This window comes from Homo sapiens, chromosome 9, assembly GCF_000001405.40.
Source record: "Homo sapiens chromosome 9, GRCh38.p14 Primary Assembly".
NCBI lineage: Eukaryota > Metazoa > Chordata > Mammalia > Primates > Hominidae > Homo > Homo sapiens.
This window is the reverse complement of record NC_000009.12, coordinates 124542805-124566823: the sequence shown is the minus strand read 5'-3', so window position 1 is coordinate 124566823 and position 24019 is coordinate 124542805. Positions and strand designations below refer to the sequence as shown.

General features: G+C 40.4%; 1 protein-coding gene across 6 annotated transcripts in view, besides 1 other annotated feature; it reads left to right on the top strand.

Annotated features, from left to right (window-relative positions):
• The window catches only part of NR6A1 (nuclear receptor subfamily 6 group A member 1), a 254037-nt gene that overhangs the window by 204488 nt on the left and 25530 nt on the right, over positions 1 to 24019 (top strand). For 4 of the 6 annotated variants that reach the window (NM_001410996.1, NM_033334.4, XM_047423226.1 and 1 more), the window contains 2 exons: positions 12254 to 12496; positions 22967 to 23022. In NM_001410996.1, the coding sequence (NP_001397925.1) occupies positions 12254 to 12496; positions 22967 to 23022 (299 nt within the window). The remainder of the gene's footprint in view (positions 1 to 12253; positions 12497 to 22966; positions 23023 to 24019) is intronic. The other 2 variants (NM_001489.5, NM_001278546.2) reach the window with 1 other exon arrangement.
• Positions 14916 to 14965: an enhancer, noted in NCBI's record as "active region_28986". NCBI's record gives its function as "activates an Ori minimal core promoter by ATAC-STARR-seq in GM12878 lymphoblastoid cells {active_cell/tissue: GM12878}" and the evidence as "EXISTENCE:reporter gene assay evidence [ECO:0000049][PMID:35858748]".

Genomic DNA, 24019 nt, shown 5'->3' with positions numbered 1-24019 from the left:
CCTCTCTTTAAACTAAAGCCATTACTTTTGCCCCGCACTCAGCTTTTGTTTTCCAATTTTCTGTTAGTGTTGCCTCATTTCTCACAGCCACGTGGTTTAGAACCTTGAGTTCCTCTCTGCCACTTTCCTATCCCCTCCTCTCTTCATCTCTCCTCTGTGGTCCAGTCGGTCAGCAAGCCCTTTCTAGGCTCCTGTTCAAACATTTCAGTAGCTTTCTCTCAGCAGGATAATATCGATTGCAGTCTATTCCAAATCAGTTTTCAAGATGTATCTCCCACCATTCCTCCGTAAGATGTCTCTATGCAACATCAATATTCTATGCAATTCTCTCAAACACACCTTGCGTTTGTTTTCCTTCCTTTTGCCGTTGCTGATATCATTTCCCTTTCTTGGAGTGCTCTGCTGTGTTTTATTTTCAGCTTTTTAATTATGAAATATTAATACTTAAAGATAAATAGATAAAATACAAATGTACAGCTTAATGACTTACTGTAAAGCAACCGCCCACGTCAAGATACAGAACACTGCCAGGATCCAGAAGCTTCTCCCTACCACCGTACTCTTAACACTGTATGTCTCTTTCCCTTCTTTGCCTGTTTTAAGCTTAATACAAATGGAATCCTATAGTATTTATTCTTTGCTTTCGCACTTCTTTCGCCCATTGTTTGTACAAGTCATCTGTGTTGTTGCAGTAGTTCAGATATGTTTACTGTTGTATAGTATTTCATTGTTGAACGCATACCATCTGTAGTAATGTCAATGAACATTTGGGTTATTTTAAATTCAGGGCTTTTATAAAGCATGCCGTTGTGAACATCCTTGAACTTGCCTCCTGATAGGCATGTATATGCATTTTGTATTGGGTATATACCTGGGAATGAATCATAGGATAGATGTCTCTTCCACTTTAATAGTGACATGCCGTTTTCCATAGTGATTGTGTAAACAAACAGTCCTACCAACAATATATGAAATTTAGTTTTTCTACATTGCCATCATAACTTGAAGTCTTTTTAAATTTCAGCCATTTTGATGGCTATGTAATATCTCATTGTGGTTTTAATTTGCATGTCCTTGATCACTAGTAAGTTTGAACATCTTTTCATAAGTTTATTGATTATGTGGCTTAACCTCCTTTGTGGCACACCTATTCAAGTCTCACACATTTTTCTACTGGGTTGCCTTTTTCTTATTCTTATATAGGAGTTTTATGTATTTTGGAATATGAGCTCTTTGTAGGTAGTGTATTGCATGTGTCTTCTCCCATGCTGTGGCTTGCCTTTTCACTCTATTAAATTTTGTTACTTTAATGCCATTTTATCAATGTTTTCTTCTATGGTTAGTGCTGCTTCTGACTTTTTTTTTAATTGTTTTTGTTTGTTTGTTTGTTTGTTTTTGAGACGGAGTCTCGTTCTGTTGCCCAGGCTGGAGTGCAGTGGCACGATCTCGGCTCACTGCAACCCCTGCCTCCTGAGTTCAAGCGATTCTCATGCCTCAGCCTCCTGGGTATCTGGGACTACAAGCGCGTGCCACCATGCCCAGCTAATTTTTGTATTGTTAGTAGAGATGGGGTTTCACCGTGTTAGCCAGGATGGTCTTGATCTTCTGACCTCATGATCCGCCCGCCAGAGCCTCCCAAAGTGCTGGGATTACAGGTGTGAGCCTCCACACCTGGCCTTCTGACTTCTTTTTTAAAATCTCTTTATAACTCAAGGTCATGAAGATGTTCTCCTTTATTATCTAATGAGAGATATATTATTTTGCCTTTGATATTTGGGTCTTAAATTATAGTAGAATTGGGTTTCATTTTTTTCCCATATAGATATCAAATTGCCCCATCACAATTCATTGAAAAGCCTTGTCTTTTTCTCAGTGCTCTGCAATGCCATCTTCATAAATTAAATATTCATATATTCATGGCTATGTTGTAGGGTTCTCCATTCCATGCCTTTGGTCTATTTATCTATCTTTGAGCCAGTAAAACATTTTAATTACTATAGCTTTAAAATAAATGTTGATGTATGGTAGATTGTCTTGTCTTTTCTCAAGTGTCTGTACTAGTTTTGTTCTTTTGCATTTCCGTATACATTTCAGAATTAGCTTGTCAAGTTATACACACACACACACACACACACACACACAGAGTGTGGATTTTGAATGGGACCTTACTGAATCTATAGACCTCTACTGTAATGACTCTTCCAATCCATGAGCGTCATATATCCCTCCATTTACTTAAAAACCTTCTTCAGCTTATCTTAGAAGTACTTTATATTAAATAAGTATATTACAGTTTCTCCATAGAGATCTTGTATCTCTTTATTAGATTACACCTTGGGTATTTCATATTTCTTGATGCTATTGTAAACGGCATCTTTTAAAATTTTTCATTTCTGTGCATGGTATAGAAATATGGTTAATTTTTATATATTTCTTATTTTGTCTGCACTGGCTGGGACCTTCCCTACAGTGTTGAATAAAGGTAGAGTACTGATCATAGGCCATCCTTGTGTTATATCCAGTCTCAAAAGAAAAGCACTTTTTTGTTTAAACATTTTATGATTCAGTGTGATTGTTGGTATAGGTTTCTTCAGATAGCCTTTATCATATTAATTTTTTTTCTGTTTCTAGTTTGCTAAAAGTTTTATAATGTTGAATTATATCAAAGACTTTTTTAAATTAAAGCACTATTTATAGCTTTATTTAAGATGAATTTTTCTTTTTGTTGTTGTTGTTGGTTTTTTTAGAGACAGCGTCTTGCTTTGTCATCCAGGCTGGAGTACAGTGCCACAGTCAGAGCTCATTGCAGCTTTAAATTCCTGGGCTCAAGGGATTCTCCCACCTCAGTATCCCAGGTAGCTAGGACCATATAGGTGTGTGCCACCATGCCTGGCTAATTTGTTTATTTTTCGTAGGGATGGGGTCTTGCTATGTTACCCAGGCTGGTCTAGAACTCCTGGCCTCAAATGATTCTCCCACCCCAGCCTGACTGGGAGCTACGGCTTGCTGCTGCCCAGCATTGCAAGAGAGTATCATATCATATATCGCTAGCTTGGGGAAAAGATGAAAATTCAAAATTGGAAGTACTGTTTCTACTGAATACATATCACTTTCATACCATCATAAAGTAGAAAAGTCCTTAAGTTGAACTCTATAAGCAGGGGACTGTCTGTTTAGAGTTGTAAGGAATGAGTGAGTGATTCAGTGTAACAAATTTAGGACAGAACTTGGTACATAGTAAGCACCATGTACATGTTCTTAGCATCTTGTACTGTATCATTTCATCCCTAGCAAATCTGTATGAGGTAAGTACTAATATTATTTGTATTTTACAGTTAATAGTTAGACTAAGAGAACTGAATTATTTACCCACAATTATAAAACTGGCAAGTGGCAGAGCTGGAGTTTATATTAGTATGTCTGAAATGCTAGGCCAATGTGTTTAAAACTTTTTACAGTTCTACATACATTGTGATCCAGTACTCCACTGCACACTTGCACATCACAGACACACAAATGCACACACTTTAATTGAAACTGAAGTTTCACGGAATTTTACCCTTTCTCGGTACATATGATGCACTTGATATTTTTCATTTCATTTTTTTCCAAACATGATGCTGTGGGTTATGACTTGTAATTTGGAAAACATTGCACCAAGCCATACCATTTGTTCATTTATTGATCATTCATTCATTCAACAAATTGTGTATCTTCTCTATAGCATTCATTGTGCCAGATTTTACTGTTAACATCTTTAATCAAAACCTACCTGCAGCAGAACCTTGGTTAGGTGTAACTGAGAAGTCCTGCAGCTGTTGTAAAACAAGACCCCAGATTGTACAATTCTTGTCAGATCGATGACTAGATTCCTTTATAAATCTCTTTATCCTCATTTATTTTTTGTTCTTGCTAAATGATGTGGAGATGGGCATATCCATTTATTTCAGCAGACACATGTCAATGGTGCTCTGAAGAGATGTTGCTAGGGCTCTGTAGCTGGTTCAGATTGTTACTAATCTTCTAGGCCAACCATATCAGCAGCTTTATTTATCATTTTACTTCCTTTGAATTTGACATTTTTGCCTCTGAAAATATGTGTCCACAGAGACCCTAACTGAGCTCTGAATCTGCTCTTATTTATCAGCAGGAGTTTAAGAAATGCAATTTAATATGATAGTTCTTTTACCTTTGCTAGAATAATCTCTGACTTAAAAACAAAAAACTCTTGCCAGGTGCAGTTGCGCATGCCTGTAGTCCCAGCTACTCGGGAGGCGAGGCGTGAGGGTCATTTGAGGTCAGGCGTTCAAGGCTGCAGAGTGGTATGACTGCAACTGTGAATAGCCACTGCACTCCAGCCTAGGCGACATAATGAACCCTGTATCCAAAAAAAAAACAAAAAACATTTTACATTGAACCTAAGGTTTGAAAGTCTATAGCAAAGACCAAGCATGTTACCTTTTTTCTAATAATGTTTGTGTTTAGTTATGGTAACCAGCAATATATAGAATATTTTGCAGGAATAAAATTGTGGGCAGATCATGACTTTTACATACAAAGGGGTAAAACATAGCCTGATATTATATTTGTGGCTACTTCTGTGCAGCTCTTCTTGATAGTCTTGCTGAAACTTAGTGAACTATATCAGCTCTTTTAGAAAGGAATGAGATTCTTCTCAGAGGAAACCCAAGTTGGAGAGGAGTTTTCCAGCACCAAATTTAAGACATGACTTTATATGCCAATTGTTTCTTTGTCTATACCCACTCTTCCACCTTCAGTTGTCTAACTGGTAGTTGTGCTTCAGAATTCACTTCCTCTAGGAAATCTGTCATTACTTTCCCCTGCCACCAGGCTGACTGGTGCTAATAACATTTTTTTAAGTTTTTTGTTTTTATTTATTTATTTATTTTTTGAGACGGAGTCTCACTCTGTCACCCAGGCTGGAGTGCAGTGGTGCAATCTTGGCTCACTGCAACCTCTACCTCCTGGGTTCAAGCAATTTTTCTGCCCCAGCCTCCCGAGTAGCTGGTATTACAGGCGCATACCACCATGCCTGGCTGATTTTTGTATTTTTAGTAGAGACAGGGTTTCACCATGATGGCCAAGCTGGTCTGGAAATCCTGACCTCAAGTAATCTGCCCACCTCGGCCTCCCAAAGTGTTGGGATTACAGGTGTGAACCACCGTGTCCCACCAATTTTTTTGTCTTTTAGATTAAAAAAAGAAAAACTTATTATTAAGCAACAATTTTGTCTAACACTTATACTTTGCAAAGCTACTTTATTCTATTACAGACTATGAGGAAGCTAGAGCTCTGTGTCATTTATGGGTAATCTATTGCCTTATTCATTCTCAAACAGTTGTTTTTGTTTGTTTTGTTTTTAGAAATGGGATCTCATTCCGCCGCCCCGTAGGCTGGAGTGCAGTGGCATGATCACAGCTCACTGCATCTTCGACCACCTGGGCTCAGGTGATACTCCTACCTCAGCCTCCTCCTGGGTAGCTGGGACTATAGGCGCACCACCACGTCTGGCTAATTTTTTGTATTTTTTGTAGAGACAGGGTTTTGCCAGGTTGCCCAGGCTGGTCTTAAACTCCTGGGCTCAAGTGATCCACCCACTTTGGCCTCCTAAAGTGCTGGGATCACAGGCATGAGCCACTGTGCCTGGTCTCACAGCAGTTCTTTTAAAAAATTATTAATATAATTTAATATAATATAATATCCACATTCTATAGAAGAGAAACAGAGGTACATCTAAGTGCTCACTCTTACAAAGTGCTGGGACTACGGTGCTCAGCCTGTCATTTTCTTTTCTATCCACAAGTTGAGGCTTACCTTGCCATGGGCTCTGAGATCAACTCTACATTGCCACCCAAGCCTGTCCCCTTGATTGCAGTGTATGTCTGTTCACCTAATCCCAGTCTCATCAATTAAAGTTTAAAGTTTGTTAAAAATTGTCTTTGGGGCAAGCACAGTGACTCCTGCCTGTAATCCCAGCACTGTGGGAGGCTGAGGCGGGTGGATCATCTGAGGTCAGGAGTTTGAGACCAGCCTGGCCAACATGGTGAAACCCTGTCTCTACTAAAAATACAAAAATTAGCCGGGCATGGTGGCACACACCTGTAATCCCAGCTACTTGGGAGGCTGAGGCAGGAGAATCACTTGAACCTGGGAGGCGGAGGTTGCAGTGAGCCGAGATTGGGCCATTGCACTCCAGCCTGGGCGACAAGAGCGAAACTCCGTCTCAAAAAAGATAAAAGACAAAACCAATTGAATAACTATTTCCAGGATGCTAATGGTTAAGTCAGATTAGAGAAAGGACTTCAGTGTTTTGCTAGAAGGCCACGTTCTGTTTAATACTGTTTTAAGGATAGAAATGAAAATAATGTAACGCCGACCACACATGTAGACAAGAAGGAGATGGAAGAAATAATATACTAGGTGGCAGGACCCAGATCCCCAAATATTTCAATAGACCAGAATGACATGCAGAATTTATTATATAAAGATAAAATGGATCAAGGGCAAATGTAAAGTCCTACCCTTGGGTTCAACATTCTGCTTCCCAAGAATGGAATAAGAAAGATACTGGTTAATGGTATGTGTGGCAAATACTTCAGGTTTTAGGTGCCTGTGAAACAGATGTGAATTAAATATGTGTGTGGTTGAGTAGGAGGTGGCAGGGAGGATTGAAAATACAGCAGTCGTAGAATTGGAAGATCTTGAATTGCAATTCCAGCTCCACTCCTGATTGGTTGTGTAACCAAGATTATTTACTCTTTCAGCACCCGTTTTTCCTGTTATAAAATGTGTGGCATGCCACAGAGATTCAGTCATTGTAAAATGTATGTACTTACTAGTGTTGCCAGCTGCAGAAACATAGAAGCAAAATTAATTCAGTCTTAAATGATATTAAGAAAAATCATTCAGTTCTGGATACTTTGTTTTAAGAGAGATTTTGATACTATATAATTCATTAAGACTAAGAAATGAGAAGGAAAAAAATCACAGTTGGACACTCCATTATTATTATTATTATTTTCTTTTTTGACGGAGTCTTGTTCTGTCGCCCAGGCTGGAGTTCAGTGGCGCAATCTTGGCTCACTGCAACCTCTGTGTTCCAGGTTCAAGTGATTCTCCTGCCTCAGCCTCCCGAGTCGCTGGGATTACAGGCATGTGCCACCATGCCCGGCTAATTTTTTGTATTTTTAGTAGAGATGGGGTTTCGCCATGTTGGCCAGGCGGGTCTCAAACTCCTGACCTCAGGTGATCTACCCTCCTTGGCCTCCCAAAGTGCTGGGATTACAGGTGTGAGCCACTACACCCAGCCTGAAAACTCCATTATTATCTTTAAATCTCTAAATGGTTTATATATGAGCTAGGTTAGATTGTACATTTATTTTTTACCCGTGAACACATTATTCAGGGCAGTGCGGGAAGCTTCAGGTTTGGCTCCATATAAAGAAAAGCCTTTGAACCATTATAACTGTCTAAAAGTAGAATGAATGGAATGAAGTACCTTATTGAGTCACTAGAGATGTGCAAGTAAGAGTATGGGGCAACTCTTTGTCTTGGAACATTGTGGAGGGAATTCATGCCTCAGGTAAAGATCTGTACAGGGCAATTTCTAAGGCCTTTTCTAACTCTTAAGATTCCAGATTCAGTAATATAGGAATAATATGTCTCGAAGTTACTGTGGTAAATAGTGTATGTAAAAACTTCTTGCACATTGCATGGTACACAGTTGGTGCTCATTGACTGTTTTTTGCCTTATCTATAAGATAAGAATAACCCTTGCTTTGGCCTGGTACCAGCAAGATAATGCATGTAAACATGCTATAAATACACTTATACACTTCAAATCCTTTGCAATAGGAAGTGCAGAAATCTGTATCTGACATCTGGCCAGGCACGATTAGGGGCATTTGCTTCAGTTTGTTCATTTACAAAGGGGGGCCCTGGCTTTTTTGGTTGGTTGGTTGGGTGGTTGGTTGGTTGGTTTTCAGTGGGGAAGGGACTGACTTACCTGCATGTAGAATGTGTAGATTTACCTTGCTGTGGCCAAAGAATGTAATGGTTAGGAACATAGACTTTTGAGGCTTCCAGCTTTCCCTTACTAGCTGGATGACTATTAGGGAGTGATAGCACCTCATGGGCCTCCATTTCCTCATCTGTAAAATGTTGAGGGCACCTTGTTTAGGAATAATTGTGATTATTCAGCACAGTAATGTATGTTAAGTGCTTGGCCAGAGCATAGCACCTAAGTGGTCAGTTAACAATAGCTGATTCTGTTGTTATTTTTCACATACTGGGAGAGAAGTTTTCCAAATGCTTCTTTGAAGGGCTACTAGATTGATCTGGAGAGAGCCTTTCTTTTGTACCACTGAGAAACTCCCTTTTGAATTAGTTCCTCATCCATGGCATAGACCATTTTTTGAAGAAACAGAACATGGCAGGCAGTAAGAATAGCTGTAGCCAGACAGAGAAGCAGTCCTAGGGCTTCAGGCTCCTTAAAGAAATATGGCCCTTTAGTCTTTGATCTCAGTGTGGCCTTTTAAAACTATCATGAGAAAAGCAAGCAGTGTTACGAGACATGAGCAGGTTCTTAACAGGTCTATATTTGATTGTCGTTCTGTAGGTTCTTTGCTCTGGCTCCAGATGCTGCACAGAATGCCATAGGAATGCTTTATGCAGAGGTTATTGAACTCCATTTCTGATATTGGTGGTTCAGGGTCAGCCACTTTCTAGGTGGACAAATTGTTTAACCATTTTGGAGCTTCCACTTAATCATTTACAAAAGGGTGATAACAATTGTACTCACCTATGTATGGGGTTTTGAGGATTACATGAGTCAGTGAAGTAAAGCCTACCTAGTTGTGGTGGGTGTTCAGTGAAATCGTATCAGTGAAGAAAGGAAGGTGTGTCCTTGTGGATATATTCATTATAACTGTTTTTAAGTCTATTCTAATAAGGCTCTGGTTTACATTATAGTCATATCTAAAAGAACACTGAAGGTTTTAAAATTAGAAAATTTAGATTCTTCCATAGCCAATCATGGTTTCCCAACAGTGTTCCATGTTCCATTTCCAGGCCTTTTCAGCACTCTAGGAAATCCCATCTCAAACATAGTGGGTGCTATTTTTATGCTATTCATTTTGCCTGTTTGGCCTTACCTGTTTTAATTTTTAAAATTTGCTATTGTAACTTTTCTGTAGTGTTTACCTTGAGCTTTCTTTATGTTTTCAAAAGGAAAATAAAAGGAATACTGATCACACCAGGGCCATTTTTATAGGGTATCTTTTTTTTCTTAATAGGGCTTTTTGTATTTTGTTTGTGTTGCAAACAACAGAAACTCACTTAAGTTAGCTTAAGAAAGAAAAGAAGGAGGATTGGCCGGGCGCGGTGGCCCACTCCTGTCATCCCAGAACTTTGGGAGGCCGAGGTGGGTGGATCACGAGGTCAGGAGTTCAAGACCAGCCTGGCCAACATGGTGAAACCCCATCTCTACTGAAAATACAAAAATTAGCCAGGCATGGTGGCACGTTCCTGTAATCCCAGCTACTCGGGAGGCTGAGGCAGGATCATTACTTGAACCGGGACCTGGGAGGCAGAGGTTGCAGTGAGCCAAGATCGCGCTACTGCACTCCAGCCTGGGCTACAGAGTGAGATCCGTCTCAAAAAAAGAAAAAAGGAGGATTGTATTACAATAACGTGGTTATGTCAATTTGTCACTGTGCTGTTTTCTCAAAGGAAGTGTATCCAAGCCTTAGAAAAGTCTGTAACCAAGAACTGTAGAGTCCTCAAGAACCTAGGCAGTCTTTCCATATCTGTCGTTCTCCATTTCCCTGGTTGTATAATCTCATGTATGTACTTGTCTGTGAGTACCTGCTGTTTGCCAGCTGACTTGAGACAAGTCTTAATATTGCCTGTTTCCCTGTTTGCGAAAAAAAAAAAAAGGTATATTAGTTTCCTGTGCTGCTGTAACAAATTACCACAAACTCAGTGCCTGAAAACAACAAAAATTTACTCTCTTACTGGAAGAGAAGCCATAAATCCAAAATCAGGTCGGGCGTGGTGGCTCACACCTCTAATCCCAGCACTTTGGGAGGCCAAGGTGTGCAGATCACTTGAGGTCAGGAATTCAAGACCAGCCTGGCCAAGATGGTAAAACCCCGTCTCTACTAAAAATACAAAAATTAGCAGGGCATGGTGGCAGGCACCTGTAATCCCAGCTACTTGGGAGGCTGAGGCAGGATAATTGCTTGAACCTAGGAGGCGGAGGTTGCAGTGAACCGAGATTGAACCACTGCACTCCAGCCTGGGTGACAGAGCAAGACTCCCTTTCAAAAAAAAAAAAAAAAAATCAGTATCCCTGGGCTGAAATGAAAGTGTTTGCAGAGCCACACTCCTTTCAGAAGCTCTAGGGGAGAATCGGTTCCTTGCCTCTTCCAACTTCTGGTGACTGCCGTCATTCCTTGGTTGGTGGCCAGTTTCTGCCTCTGTCTTCGTATCACCTTCTCTTTTGCATGTGATGTGTTTCTTCTTCTCTACTATCTTTATCAGATCTTCCTCTGCCTCTGTCTTACGAAGACACTTGTGATTGTATTTCGGGCCCACCCATATAATTCAGAATAACCCCCTACCGCAAGATTCTTAATTCAATCACATCTACAAATACCCTTTTTCCTTTATAAGGTAGCATTTTACAGGTTCCAAGGATTAGGACCTGATATCTATGGGTCGCAGTTATTCTGCTTACTATAGATGGCAATCATAAAGACTCATCTCAAAGTTGGCATATATTAAGGGCTCCAGAAATGCAAGCCACCTCCTTTCTCTGCATCCCTCCTGTATATACTACCATGACCCTCTGCTAACATTGCCTTCGAAAGCTTTTCCTTTCAGGAATGTCATTATCACATTAAATGTGTACCTGCTGGGGTAATAATAATGAAAATAATAGCTGACAGTTATCAAATGTCTATTATAGCCCACACACTGCAATGAGAACTTTATCCATGGGATATAGGTATTATTATAATCACCATTTAACAGATGAGAGAAATTAGAAAAGTAAAGAAGGTCAATTTTTCCCTAGTTCACCCAGCTAGTTTCAGAGCTAGGGTTCAAATTAGAATCTCTCTAATTATAAGCGGTCTCTAATTCATGGTATAATGATGTGCCTTTGTTTTTGTTTATTTGTTTTTTAAGAGATATGGTCTTGCCGTCGCTCAGGCTGGAATGCAGTGGTGCAATCATAGCTCACTGCAGCCTCAAACTCCTAGGCTCAAGCAGTCCTCCTGCTTCAGCCTCCTCAGTAGATGAGACTACAGGTGTGTGCCATCACGCCTGGCTCTATAACGATGTTCTTGATTATTATACCTTCCCTCTTACTCAGGAGTGAGGTTGAAATATCTGATTTCTTGTCTTGGCCTCTGATCGGAACCTTCCCTGGTGATTTCTTGTACCTGCTGGCATAGCTTCACATCACAGTTCACAGGGTGCTTTTTTGTCGTGTGCCTGCTCTTTAGCAGTTGCTTGGTCCTGAGTAAATGCAGTTTAAAGGAAGAGGAAGTGAAGAGCTATATTCTATCCTGAATTTCCTCCTTGAGTAACTTGTTTATTGCTCGTCAGTGAGTTCCATGACTCTGGGGATCATGATGATTTATTTATGTCCTAGCACAGGGCCTGGACACAGAATAGATACTCTGCTAGAGTGTAAGCTTCACCAGGGGCTTCTGTTCACTGCTGTATTTGTGCCTTACAGCAGTTCCCAGGATAGAAGAGTTGCACAGTAAATATTTATTGGCTGGATGTCTGGCTGACCGGCTTAGCTCGGTATGGTTAGAACTCAATTACAGCTGTCATTTATTGGCTGTATATCATGTGTTAGGCCCTTACATATATGGTAAGTAATCCTTACCGTGCTCCTACAGGGTAGAATTGATGGGTTATAGATGAGCAGGGTAAGGGTGATAGAGGAGTCAAAGATTCTTTCTAGGTTTCAGTCTTAGATACTGATCCAAGTGTTGATGAAACCCAGGAGGAAGAGTTTAGGTAGACTGTGTTGTGGTATCTGCAACCACAGATACAGGGACTACTCTTGGGACAAGGATCCGAAGATGGGCCCCCTGTTTGCCCTTTAGCCTGGAGATAGTGGTGGTCTTAATCTACCCAGAGCAGAGTTGCTCACTTTAGGAACTGTAGGCTTAAAGCCATTATTTCCACTGTGTTCTAACTTGAACATGATCAGTTTCTGTTTCAGATGATCGGGCTGAACAACGAACCTGTCTCATTTGTGGGGACCGCGCTACAGGCTTGCACTATGGGATCATCTCCTGTGAGGGCTGCAAAGGGTTTTTCAAGCGGAGCATTTGCAACAAACGGGTATATCGATGCAGTCGTGACAAGAACTGTGTCATGTCTCGGAAGCAGAGGAACAGGTGCCAGTACTGCCGCCTGCTCAAATGCCTCCAGATGGGGATGAACCGGAAGGGTGAGTGGTGCTGATGGCTCTGATGGCCCATCCTTCATTCAAAACTTTACCTTTAGTGTCAGCTGTTTAGTTACTTATTCCTCAAGCTTGCACTACATATCAGGCCTTATAGTTTGTACTCATAACCAAAAATGAACCATTCTTGCCTATAAGACCTTCCTAAACTAGGTGGGGGGAAGAAAACTAGTGAGATGTTAAGGTGGGAATGAGTGCACAGGCCCTGTGTGACCAAGAACCCACTTAACAATCAGGTCTTAACTGGGATTAATATACTTCACTAGTTATTTCAGGAATGATGACAGAAGTAGAAATTTTTGGATGAAAAGGCATGAGGTAGGAGATTGCTGAATGCGGTATCATTTTGTTTGCTAGAACCACGGTGTACTCAGAGGCTAGGCATGCTCAGAAGTCTGTGTCTAGGTTGGTGAGGAGTTTGGAATTTATTGGGAAGCTTTCCAAGAGCCATTAGCCTGAGATAATATGAACAAACTGACGTTCTAGTAGGATGAATATGAAGGGCTGTTTTGGAGGGTGAATTGGGGCAGGGGAAACAGAAAACCACCTAGAAAGTTTTTAGTAGAGTCTAGAAGGAAATCTGAAGGATCTGAAGGAACGGGGGAAATAATGGCACACAGAGATGTTGAAGAAACTCATCTGATAGGAGTTGGTGACATACTGAATATTGAGCAGCACCAGAAGTTGAAATCGAGGATGTGGATTAAGAGTAATGACCTTACCAGGGAGAAAAAAACGAAAAAAAAAAAAAAAAAAAAAAAAAGTCAAGCTAAAAAGCAGGGTGATTTCTCTATAGGACCCTCTGAAAAGAAAAGAAAAAGGGTGGGGCAAAATGTTGGCCTTGGCAATACTGAGTTTGAGATACCTGAGAAGGATGCATAAAGATGTCCACCAAGGAAGTTGGTTATATAGGATTGGAACTGAGATGAAAAGTCCTGCCTGCAAACAGGCTTCATGGAGCTGTTGGCACAGAGGTGGTAGTAAAAGTCTAGTCCATAGGTGAAATCACCCACAGAGAGAGCTTAGATACAGAAGAGAGAAGGGCCGGTGTCAGAAGCCTAGAGTGGTATTCCCATGGAGAGTGGAGAGTAGAATAGAGCAGTGTCATTCAGCAGAAAGAAGAGAGGCTCTAGAGGCAAACAGACTAGCTTTTAGCTCTGTGACCTTAGGAAGTTTGCTTTATATCTCCAATATTCAATTATCTTACCTTTAAGATGGTATGTTACTTACCCTTCAGAGTTCTCTACGGGATTAAGTATGATAACATATAAAATACCCAGCAAGGTATTAGGGGTTCATAGCAGCAGTGTTCAGGGATGGGGGTGTTAGTCAGATATAGTGAACTATTCAAACTGGTTTTATAGCATTATGAATGCAGACATCCAGATATACTCAGACTGGTTTTATTGTGTATGAGATAAGAAGGACCTTTTAAAAACTTGCCCATCATGAAGAAAGGTAAGAGAGATGTGGAAGTGCATTTAGATAAATTTAGGTGGTTTATAATTTATTATAAATACTAATATTGAGCACTTATTTATGTACCCTCCATATATATATTCTACCACTGAATACATACAACAACCCTGTTATTAACTATTATCCCCAGTTTACAGATACAGCTTAGGGAGGTAAAATGAGTTAGCAATAGTTTAGGGGTGGTTATGTTGACAGTTAACAGTTAACTAAATTATAATTTGTTATTAAGCAGAGCTTGTACCTGCTTAATACGGACACGGACAATGTACTGCTTCACATGTCTACCATGTGGCATAGCTGTTTACATGTTGGAATGCCCTGTGTTTACTGGATGATGAATGCCATAGTAGGACATTTGAAGTGTTACCAAGTTTGTCCCCTGCCTGTCTTTCTAACTCATTTCTGAACACTGTGCCTCAGGGATGCCTTACACTGCTGTGCCTGTACTCAGGTTTTTTCCTCTACTTGGAGATCTTTTCCCTTCCCCACTGTCAGTTTCCTCTTATTGAAATCTTTTCCAGCCACCAATACCAAACATGTACTGTCTGAAGAGTCTGTCAACTTCCTGCCCTCACCCTGTTTTGGTTTTGGCCTCCACTTCTCTCATCTCCCTTTGTTGCCCTCACTGTGAGTATCTTATGAAAGCTTAGTTATTATGGGTTGCCTTCTTGACTGCTGTCTCTGATGAATCATCCTGCTTGTTCAGCTGGAGTGTGAGATTCTGAGGCTTCCAGCAAAACTCACCTGTTTTAGGGAAGAAGAAACTTAACCTTATAACCCCTCTGACCATAGTCAGAAGACACACGGAGTATGAGGGACAGGGAGCTAGCTGTCTCCTTAGGACTGTTTGCATGCAGAGCAGGCAGACCCAGTTGCCTGGTGAAGTCTGCGTCAGGGAGAGAAACCCTGCCACCTCCTGGTTGGTGCTGCGAAAGCAGGATTAAAATTGCAGTTGCCGTGGGAGTATTTTGGGGGTAAGGAATGTTCTGTATGGACCTGTGGTGGTTGACACATAATTCTGTGCATTTGTCAAAACCCATAGAACTTTACACCACAAAAAAATAAATGTTACTATATGTGAAAATTTGTTTAATCAGCTAGGATGTTTTGGGGGTTAAAGGGCAGAGAGAAAGAATGCACACTATGACAAATGAATCTAGCTGGTGTTACAAATTAGTCACATAACCACACTTAAGGGGTTGGAGAAAAAAGGAGCTAACCTTTGAAAAGTATTTTGACTGTATACTGTAAGGCTAAAAACAAAAAGAATTACATACAAACAAAGCACTCTAGTTTGTAAAATTTGTTTCTCTCAAGGTTATGTGTTAGGAATTTTTTCACTACTTCATTTGTATAATAGAGTAGAATCAGCAAGTAAATATATTGTGGACAATGAGAGTCAGGTTTCTCACATCAGAGAAAGAAAGAAGTTATAAATCAGCAAAGGAGAAGGCCAGAATGAATCCCCTCGTGCTAGATTGGAATCAGTGTATCAATATGTATTCGTGTTTCAGATAGATTTAAAAATACATAGATACCTTGTGTGGGTAGGTGAGTTAGTGTACATATGTATATTTCCAAGCTCTAGCCACTGAGAGGGGCTAGAAGCAGATACCCCAGGAGCAATGAGTACACCCAGCACCCAGATCTTGGCTTCCAAATATCAATGAAAGGAATGAGGACTCATTGGAAAACTGGTTGATTCCAAGGCTGGGGTAGGGGAAATATAAAATGATCCTGGAGCATCTTAAGGGGCCAGCAAGCTAGGAAGTGCTTTCTAAAAAAAGAAAGGAAGCATATCAAAGGGCACAGAAGCCAACCTGAAAGAACTTCTGATGGCCAACGGTGGAACAACTTGAGGAACAATAACTGTAGGATTAATTTATAACCCAAAGGATAAAAATATCCATGAGTTCATACCGAAAGGAATAAGTGAATAAATAAAGAGAAGTGATCATTTTTCCTTTAAGTGAATTCTGATTAACAAATGTAGAAGGAGGCCAGGCTTAGTGGCTCACACCTGTAATCCCAGCACTTTGGGAGGCCAAGGCAAGAGGATCACTTGAGCCCTGGAGTTCAAGACCAGCCTGGGCAGCATAGTGAGACTCCATCTCTAAAAATATAAATATAAATATAAATGTAGAAGGAATGAGGGAAATAGAAAAATCACCATTAGGGCTGGGCACAGTGGTTCATGCCTGTAATCCCAATACTTTGGGAGGCCGGAGCAGGTGGATTGCTTAAGCTCAGGAGTTCAAGACCAGCCTTGGTATCATGCTGAAACCCCGTCTATACAAAAAAAAAATACAAAAATTAGCTGGCGCGGTGGCATGTGCCTACAGTCCCGGCTACTCTGGAGGCTAAGGTAAACCTGGGAGACGGAGGTTGCAGTAAGCCAAGATCATGCCATTGTACTCCACCCTGGGCAACAAACCAAAAAAAAAAAAAAAAAAAAAAATTCACCATTAGAACATCACAGTAATAATTGCGACAAGCAAAACCTACTAATGGATGCTAAATAAGTGGCATCAGTGTCAACAGAAACAGAATATTTGCATAGTCTGCAAATATATAGTAATTACAAAGGGAAAAATAGTAAGTTTATTTAGAGAATTCTGACAGACATAACTTTAGCCAAGTGATCAAGATTAACAGTACCAATAAAACACACCAACATTGTATATACCCCCTGATATGAAACACTGAGAAGGTCACACATATACACACACAGAGAGGTAAGTTCACTCAATCTAATCCTGAGAAAACAAACAAGCCCATATTGAGGGACATTCTTCAGAATAACTGACATTTGACAAAATACCCATTTGAAAAGTGTCAAAGTCACAAAAAAACAAGGAAAGACTGAGCTGTCACAGATTGGAGAAGACTATGAAGGCATGACAGCTAAATGCAATGTGGGCCCCTGGATTGTGTTCTGGAACAAAAGATATCAGTGAAACAACTGGAGAAATCAAAATAAAGTATGTACTTTGGTTAATAGTATTGTACCAAGGTTAATTTCCTAGTTTTGATGACTAGACATGATTATGTCCATTGTTAAAAGGAGGAGGGTGTATGGGAACTCTCCATACTATTTTTGCAACTCTTGTATAAAGTCTAAACTTACCTCAAAATTTAAAAAATTAACTATTAAAAAAATGCAGCTGCCATTTGTGGCTGGGGCTTTTTCACCTATGTGCAAGACAGCTCTCTGTTGTTCTCCATCTTTGGATATGGAACTGAGTATCTTTTCAGACCTGAAAGTTGGCTGGTCAGAAAACTCCTTAGCAAAGCAATGAGGAAGATCTAAAGAAGGGTGGTGAATGGAGACTGGGCCCTGTCTGTCCATCCCCACTACTGCACTAGTATCCCCCATGTATGTTCCTTACCCATCTTGCAGTCTTCGGGATAAAGTCAGGCTCCTTAAGGTGATTTTCAAGGCCCCTCTGACACTGGCATCAGCCACCTGATCCCTTTCCTTCTCCATTTGGTGTTCCCCACTCACAATCTGCATTCCATCCTAGTTCTTCAAAAACCCAGTGATGTTTCCTGTTTTGCACATGTGGTTTCATCTGCCTGGAAGAAGAGGGGGTTTAAACATCCACCCCTTCTTCTACTCCTGACTTCAAGGTTCAGCGTTTATTTGTAACATCCTCTAAGAAGCCTTCTCTGACACCATCCCCCACCAGATAACCCTCCTGTGCTTCCACAGCTTTTTTGCATGCCTTCTGCCATAACCCTGGTCATCTTGTGTTATCTTTCTCTGTTCACTCATCTGTTTCCCTCATTATTAGACAATGAGCCCCTCAAGGGCCATGATCAAGTCCTACTTTTCTGTTGGTCCTTCAGCAAATAACTCAGTAGTGATAGGATGCTCCCTGGTTAGATGGATTGACTGTGATGGAGGGCCATGGCAGGAAGTGGGATGGGGAAAATATTGTCAGAGGAGAAATGAGGATACAGTCAGCTTCGTGGCGGGTGGTGGGGGTGGGTGTCATGTTAGTTAAGTAACTGTGAAAAAATAAAAAATTTCCTTAACTCTGTGGTCTCATAACTTGCTAACTAGTTCAAAAGTATAAAGGTCAAGGAAAGCTTCTTGGAGGAGGTGATGTTTGCAGAATGGCATTGTGAGGCAGTGATCCTGTGGCATCGCCATATCACTTTACCAGGGTAAAAAGTGCCCCAGGACACAACACAGAGGTCTGCATGAAGCACTGAGAAATCTCAAGGAGGGATAACATTTGAGCAGAATCTTAAAGAAATCAAAGTTCGTGTTCCTTACAAACATTTTTTTTACATTTCTTACATTTTCCTTATGAACTTTTTTTTTTACATTTTATTATACCAAAAAAATTTGTAGAGACAAGTTTTCAGCATGTTGCCCAGGCAGCTCTTGAACTGAGGATCAAGTTCAGCTGAGCTAAACTGAGCTCAAGCAATCCTCCCGCCTCAGTCTCCCAAAGTGCTGGGATTATAGGCATGAGCATATGCCTGCCAAAAGATTGTTTGTTTTTAAATTAAGACTTTAAAATTTTGTTCTGTTTTATTTTTAAATAATTTCAAGCTTACAGAAAAGTTGCAACAGTAGTAATAATTCCCATATGCCCTTTACCTAAATTCACCAATTGTTAACATTTTGCCACATTTGCTTTATCATGCTATTTGTTTTATTATTTTCCCTCCCCCCTCCCCCTTGCTCTTCTTTCTGTCTCTCTCTTCCACCTTCCCCACTTCCCACAGGTAAGTAAGTGTGTGTGTGCCTGCATGTACGCACCTTCTTAGCCATTTGAGAGTGAGGCATAGGCAGTGTTCCTTTTATTTCTAGCAATCACAGTACTGTTATCAAAATCAGGAAATTTAACCTGACACAGTACTATCTTATTAGCAGATCTTATTCAATTTTTGCCAGTCATCTCAGTGTCCTTTATAGCAATTTTATTTTCTCTGATCTAGAAGCCACTTCAGGAAATCACATTACATTTAGTTTTTATGTCTTTTCAGTCTCTTTTAATCTGAAATAGTTCGTCAGTCTTTCTTTGTCTTTATTAACATTGTCGATTTTGAAGCAAATAGGTCATGTATTTTGTAGAATATCCCTTAATTTGGGCTTGTCAGTTTCCTCACGAATACATGCAGGTTATGCATTTTTCGCAAGAATGCCATAGAAATGATGTTGTGTCCTTCTTAGACCATAATATCAAGAGCACATGATGTAAGTGTATACCCATTATTGGTGATATTAACTTGAATCACTTGGTTATGATGATGTCACTTAGGGAAGGTGATGTTGCCAGATTTTTCCACTTTAAGTTTCTTTCTGAGTACAGGCAACATATGCAGAGACAGAACTATGTAAAACAGAATAGCATGTTTAAAGACTAACAAATAGTTATCTACATGTAGGGTATAGCATTTATGGCAAGAGATGAGGATGAGGGGTCCCACCAGAACCAGATGATAGATGGTCTTGAATGCCATGCTAAGGAGCTTAGATTTGGCCCATGAACCAAAGGCACCACCGACAGGTTTTGAGTGGAGCTTTGATGTAGTTAGCTTTGTTATTTATGGTTTCTGGGTTTTGTTGACTGCCTAAGCCCAAGCAAATGAAGAATGGTAGGCATATGAGTTCCAAAGCAGAAAAAGTGTTTGTGGTGCCTTCTGAGAAGATAGAAGAGCCATGGCTAGGGCCATTCTCTTTCTTAGACTTAGATAAGAGTTACAGCAGAACCATTCCTGTAATACTGCACACAGGAGCCATTTGTTCTTTTTAATCAAATCACTGCCAAATAGATTTTAGCCCTGCTGAAAAACTTGTTAGTTCAGTATGGCATCAAGGAACAAGTACAGCTTTAGAATCAGAAGATCTAAATGGAAACTCCAGCTCTGTCAGTTCTTCCCTGAGCAAATCTCTTTACCTCTCTGAGCTCTGTTTCCTCATCTCAAAAATGCGTGGGAGAATAATACACCTTCCAAGGTGGTTGTGAGGATCACATGAGATAACATACATATGTGCAAGAACATTATAAGTTTGAAAATATGGTCCAAGTTTTTGTTTTTAACAGAGGCAGTGTGGCACATTGTATTGATTTCCACACTTCAGGTGGTTTCATGGCATCTTGACCGATTTTATCATCTCTAAATGGGTACTGCTGTTTATATTAGTCTTTCAATAACTTTTAAAAATCAAAGTTAATTTTTAAAGGCAATTCTTTACCACCTCATTAAAACTTTGTTCTGTTTTATTTTGAAGTAATTTCAAGCTTACAGAAAATTTGCAACAGTAGTAAGAATTCTCATCTGCCCTTTACCCAAATTCACCAATTGTTAACATTTTGCCATGTGAGTTGCACATCAGAATAAATGTATAATTTAAGAATAATTAATAATTAAGAATGTATAATTAAGAGTTTATGCACCACCTAAAAGTATCTTATGTTTCTCCACTAGGATGCATACATAGTAGTAGTAGAAAGAAGTCTGGTCTTACAGTCTGATAGTGTGGGTTCCAACCCTGATTCTGCTCTTTAGTTTCTGTCTCTTCCAGCAAAATACTTCATTTCTGTGAGCCTTAGATCCATCTGTTCAATGGGAGTGATACTAATACTTTACTCATGAGTGATTTTACCTCAGAGAACAGTATGTAACACATAGTAGATTTCTATCATATACGTATTTTGTTACTCTGGGTGGGGTCGAGGAAGAAGATGAACATTTTTTTGAGATGGAGTTTTGCTCTTGTTGCCCAGGCTGGAGTGCAATAGCACCATCTCAGTTCACCGCAACCTCCACCTCCCGGGTTCAAGCAATTCTCCTGCCTCAGCCTCCCGAGTAGCTGGGATTACAGGCATGTGCCACCACGCCCGGCTAATTTTGAATTTTTAGTAGAGACATGGTTTCTCCATGTTGGTCAGGCTGGTCTTGAACTCCCAATCTCAGGTGATCTGCCCTCCTCAGCCTTCCAAAGTGCTGGGATTACAAGTGTGAGCCACTGTGCTTGGCCGATGAGCTTTTGAATTTCAGAACAAGAGATTGGCAAGATGTAAATCTTTAAGACATGTGGCCCTTTAAATGAAAAGTAAAGTATGTTGCTTTCTTTTCACACCTCCAGGACAGTGAAAATGAGGTAACAGCCGAACTATTAATACATTTGGTGTTGTATTCCAGTGACAGATCTTTGTTCTCTACCTATGAGCTGAAATAAAGACATGTGAGATGTTATTATTGGAAATAGAAATACCCAAAGACTGTCATTGACCATGGAACAGCAGAGAAGCGATTGTAAAGATTTTAGAACTTGAAATTAGATTGAAAGAGACCTCCCAGCCAACAAGCAGCATACATCTAGCTCTAACATAGGCTATGTATGTTTCTTACTCCAAATTCACAACAGCTTTTTATAAAGCAGACCGACCCTGTTGCCTCCATTTAGCAGATGAAAATATTAAGATTCTAGCAAAGTTGAGAATAGAACCTTGGATTTTTAACTCAAAGAGGCTAGGGAGAGGGAAGGATTAGTTACTAAGTGCTTACTTTACATGCAAGGCCCTAAGGTTGGTGTTTTATCCATACCATTTTATGTAATGTAACATAAAACAAGTACCAGTATTTTCTCTTTTCATTTCAGTAAACTGAAGTCCAGAGAGGCAGAGAAACTTGTTCATAATTATACAGACCAGGAAGAAACAGGATTTGGACCCTAACTTACTTAATTCTGAATTTCCTGTCAGCCTTTTAGTTACCTCAGAAACAGGGTTATATACTTGGAGCTCCCACCTTTTGAGGCAATCAGTCCCTGCCTGGGGAACTTCCTAGATTCCTTATGTTAATTTTTTTAAGTGGCAGGTATATCCTAGCAAGGCCTGCTATTACATAATGTCATTAGCTTATCTTCTGTCATTGTTAACATTAACCCCTTCCAAGCTACCCTCCACAGTGGCTGTCAGAAAGATTTTTTAAAAATCCCAATATGACCACAGTGCCCCCCTACATTCCTTCTTGTCCTCAAGCTCCTTAGCTAAAGTTATACCCTAGTCTGGCATTCAAGGCTCTTTATAATCTAGGCCCAATTGGCCTTTCCACCCTTATCTCATGCTACTCTTCCCCCACATAGGCCACCCTTCCCCTATGCTTTAGCCAGATTAAGCCGCTTGGAAATTCCCAGAAAGAAGAGCTTATTCTTACCTTCAGCTTGCTTTTTTTGTACACTGTTCGCTCAACCTGGAGCACTCTTTTCCTGGCTGCCTAAATCCTACTTAACCTTTAAGACTCAGTTCAGAAGTTTTCTTTTCCAGAAAGGATTGCCTAATACCGTGGTCCTACTATAATTGCAAATCAGGGGTTCTTCTCTATGCCCCCCGTATTAAGTGTTCCATAAAGAGTGATGATAATATTAGTAGTAGTTGTTATTCTTAGTCAGGAGATACTACTTAAAGGATGCTTTTTATACTTAGTAAATGCTAGGTAAGTTCCTTCGACTACACAGGTGCTCTACTGACTGCCTTTGCAGGGAGAAACCATTGAGGTCAAAATTCTGATTAATGAAAAAAACCAAAAAACCTGTTCTGATTCTACAAATCAAATCTAAACTTAGGCTGGGAATACAAACTATTTTATTTAAAAATGGAAATACTCTGTCCCTCCCCTAGAATTTGTCAAAACCTTAAGATGCATCATCCTGGCAGGATGTTTGTAACTGAAGGACTAGTGAGCAGTGCTATCACCTTTTTCGAACATATTGAATGTATACAGTGTGTGTAGTATGTACGCAATGCCTTGGGGGCCCCAAAATATTGCTGCCTATGAAGGAGCCTGGAATAATAGAAAGAATTGTGTGCTTTGGATCCAGAAGGACCTGTGTTTTAATGTTGGATTCACTAATTACTGTCTTATGCTTTTGGCCAAGTAAACTCTCTTTTTGTGCTAAGACTTATATGAGTGTGCTTCTGACTGCCTTTCTTGACTTATCTTTCCTTCCAGCTATCAGAGAAGATGGCATGCCTGGAGGCCGGAATAAGAGCATTGGGCCAGTCCAGGTGAGTTCTAGACCTCAGTCTCTGTGGTCCGTCCTGGAAGCCCAGGGCTCCAGCTGTTCCTGAAACTGCTCACCTTGACTCTTTCATCTGCTGCTGAGGAGAGCCATCTTTGCTTTCATTTCTGTAAAAGTGCTTTTACATCCTGGATGTGAAAGTGCTTTGAAAATCTTAAATATGTAAGTTAATGATTAAAGCTCTTCCTGTGATCCCTCAGCCTTTCCTAAGGATTTCACAGACAGTGAACCCAGTTATGGTTCTGAACCATCCAGAGGACTTTTTGATCAGTCCTTAAGGTTATAGATAACTAAGCCTGGCAGAAATGAGCAAGACTACTTTGCTTTGTTCATTTCATCTAAAAAATATATCAGCAGAATATTATTGTCTTATTGTAGAGTAGGAATGATAATACCCCCATTCAATCCCACAAACATTTACTGAGTTCCTACTCTTCCAGGCCCTATACTGTGAACTCAGTCTAATGGGAGAAACAGATAGGTAAACAGACATCATAGTAAGGTGAGAGGTAACAGAGGATGCCCAGGGACTACAGAGGGAGGGGCATCTATTCTGCTTGGGCTAGAGCCGTGGTTGGGGACTAGAGACACTCAAGAAAATAGACTGTGAAGAGACCCAACGATGAATCTTTATGACAAGGAGTTTGTTCAATTAGGCTGCAACATTGGGCACATGTAGTAGAGTGGCAGAAGATAAGGCAGAATCCTTGAATTTGGAATCAGTTCATTAGGGAGTGGCCTTCAAGTCTTTGACTACAGCTCCTTAGGAAAAGTCTTTGTTGGGCCAGCCTGCACCACTTGTTCTTACCCGTTGTTCTTACTTGCCAGCAGAAGAGCTTCATGAGGGTAGAAAATTGGATATATCTCTGCCCATCAGGTGAATCCCTTGGCACATTAGTAGGCAGAGAGCATGCCTTAGGAATTACTAGTGGCCAGGAGCAGTGGCACACGCCTGTAATCCCAGCACTTTGGGTGGCTGAGGC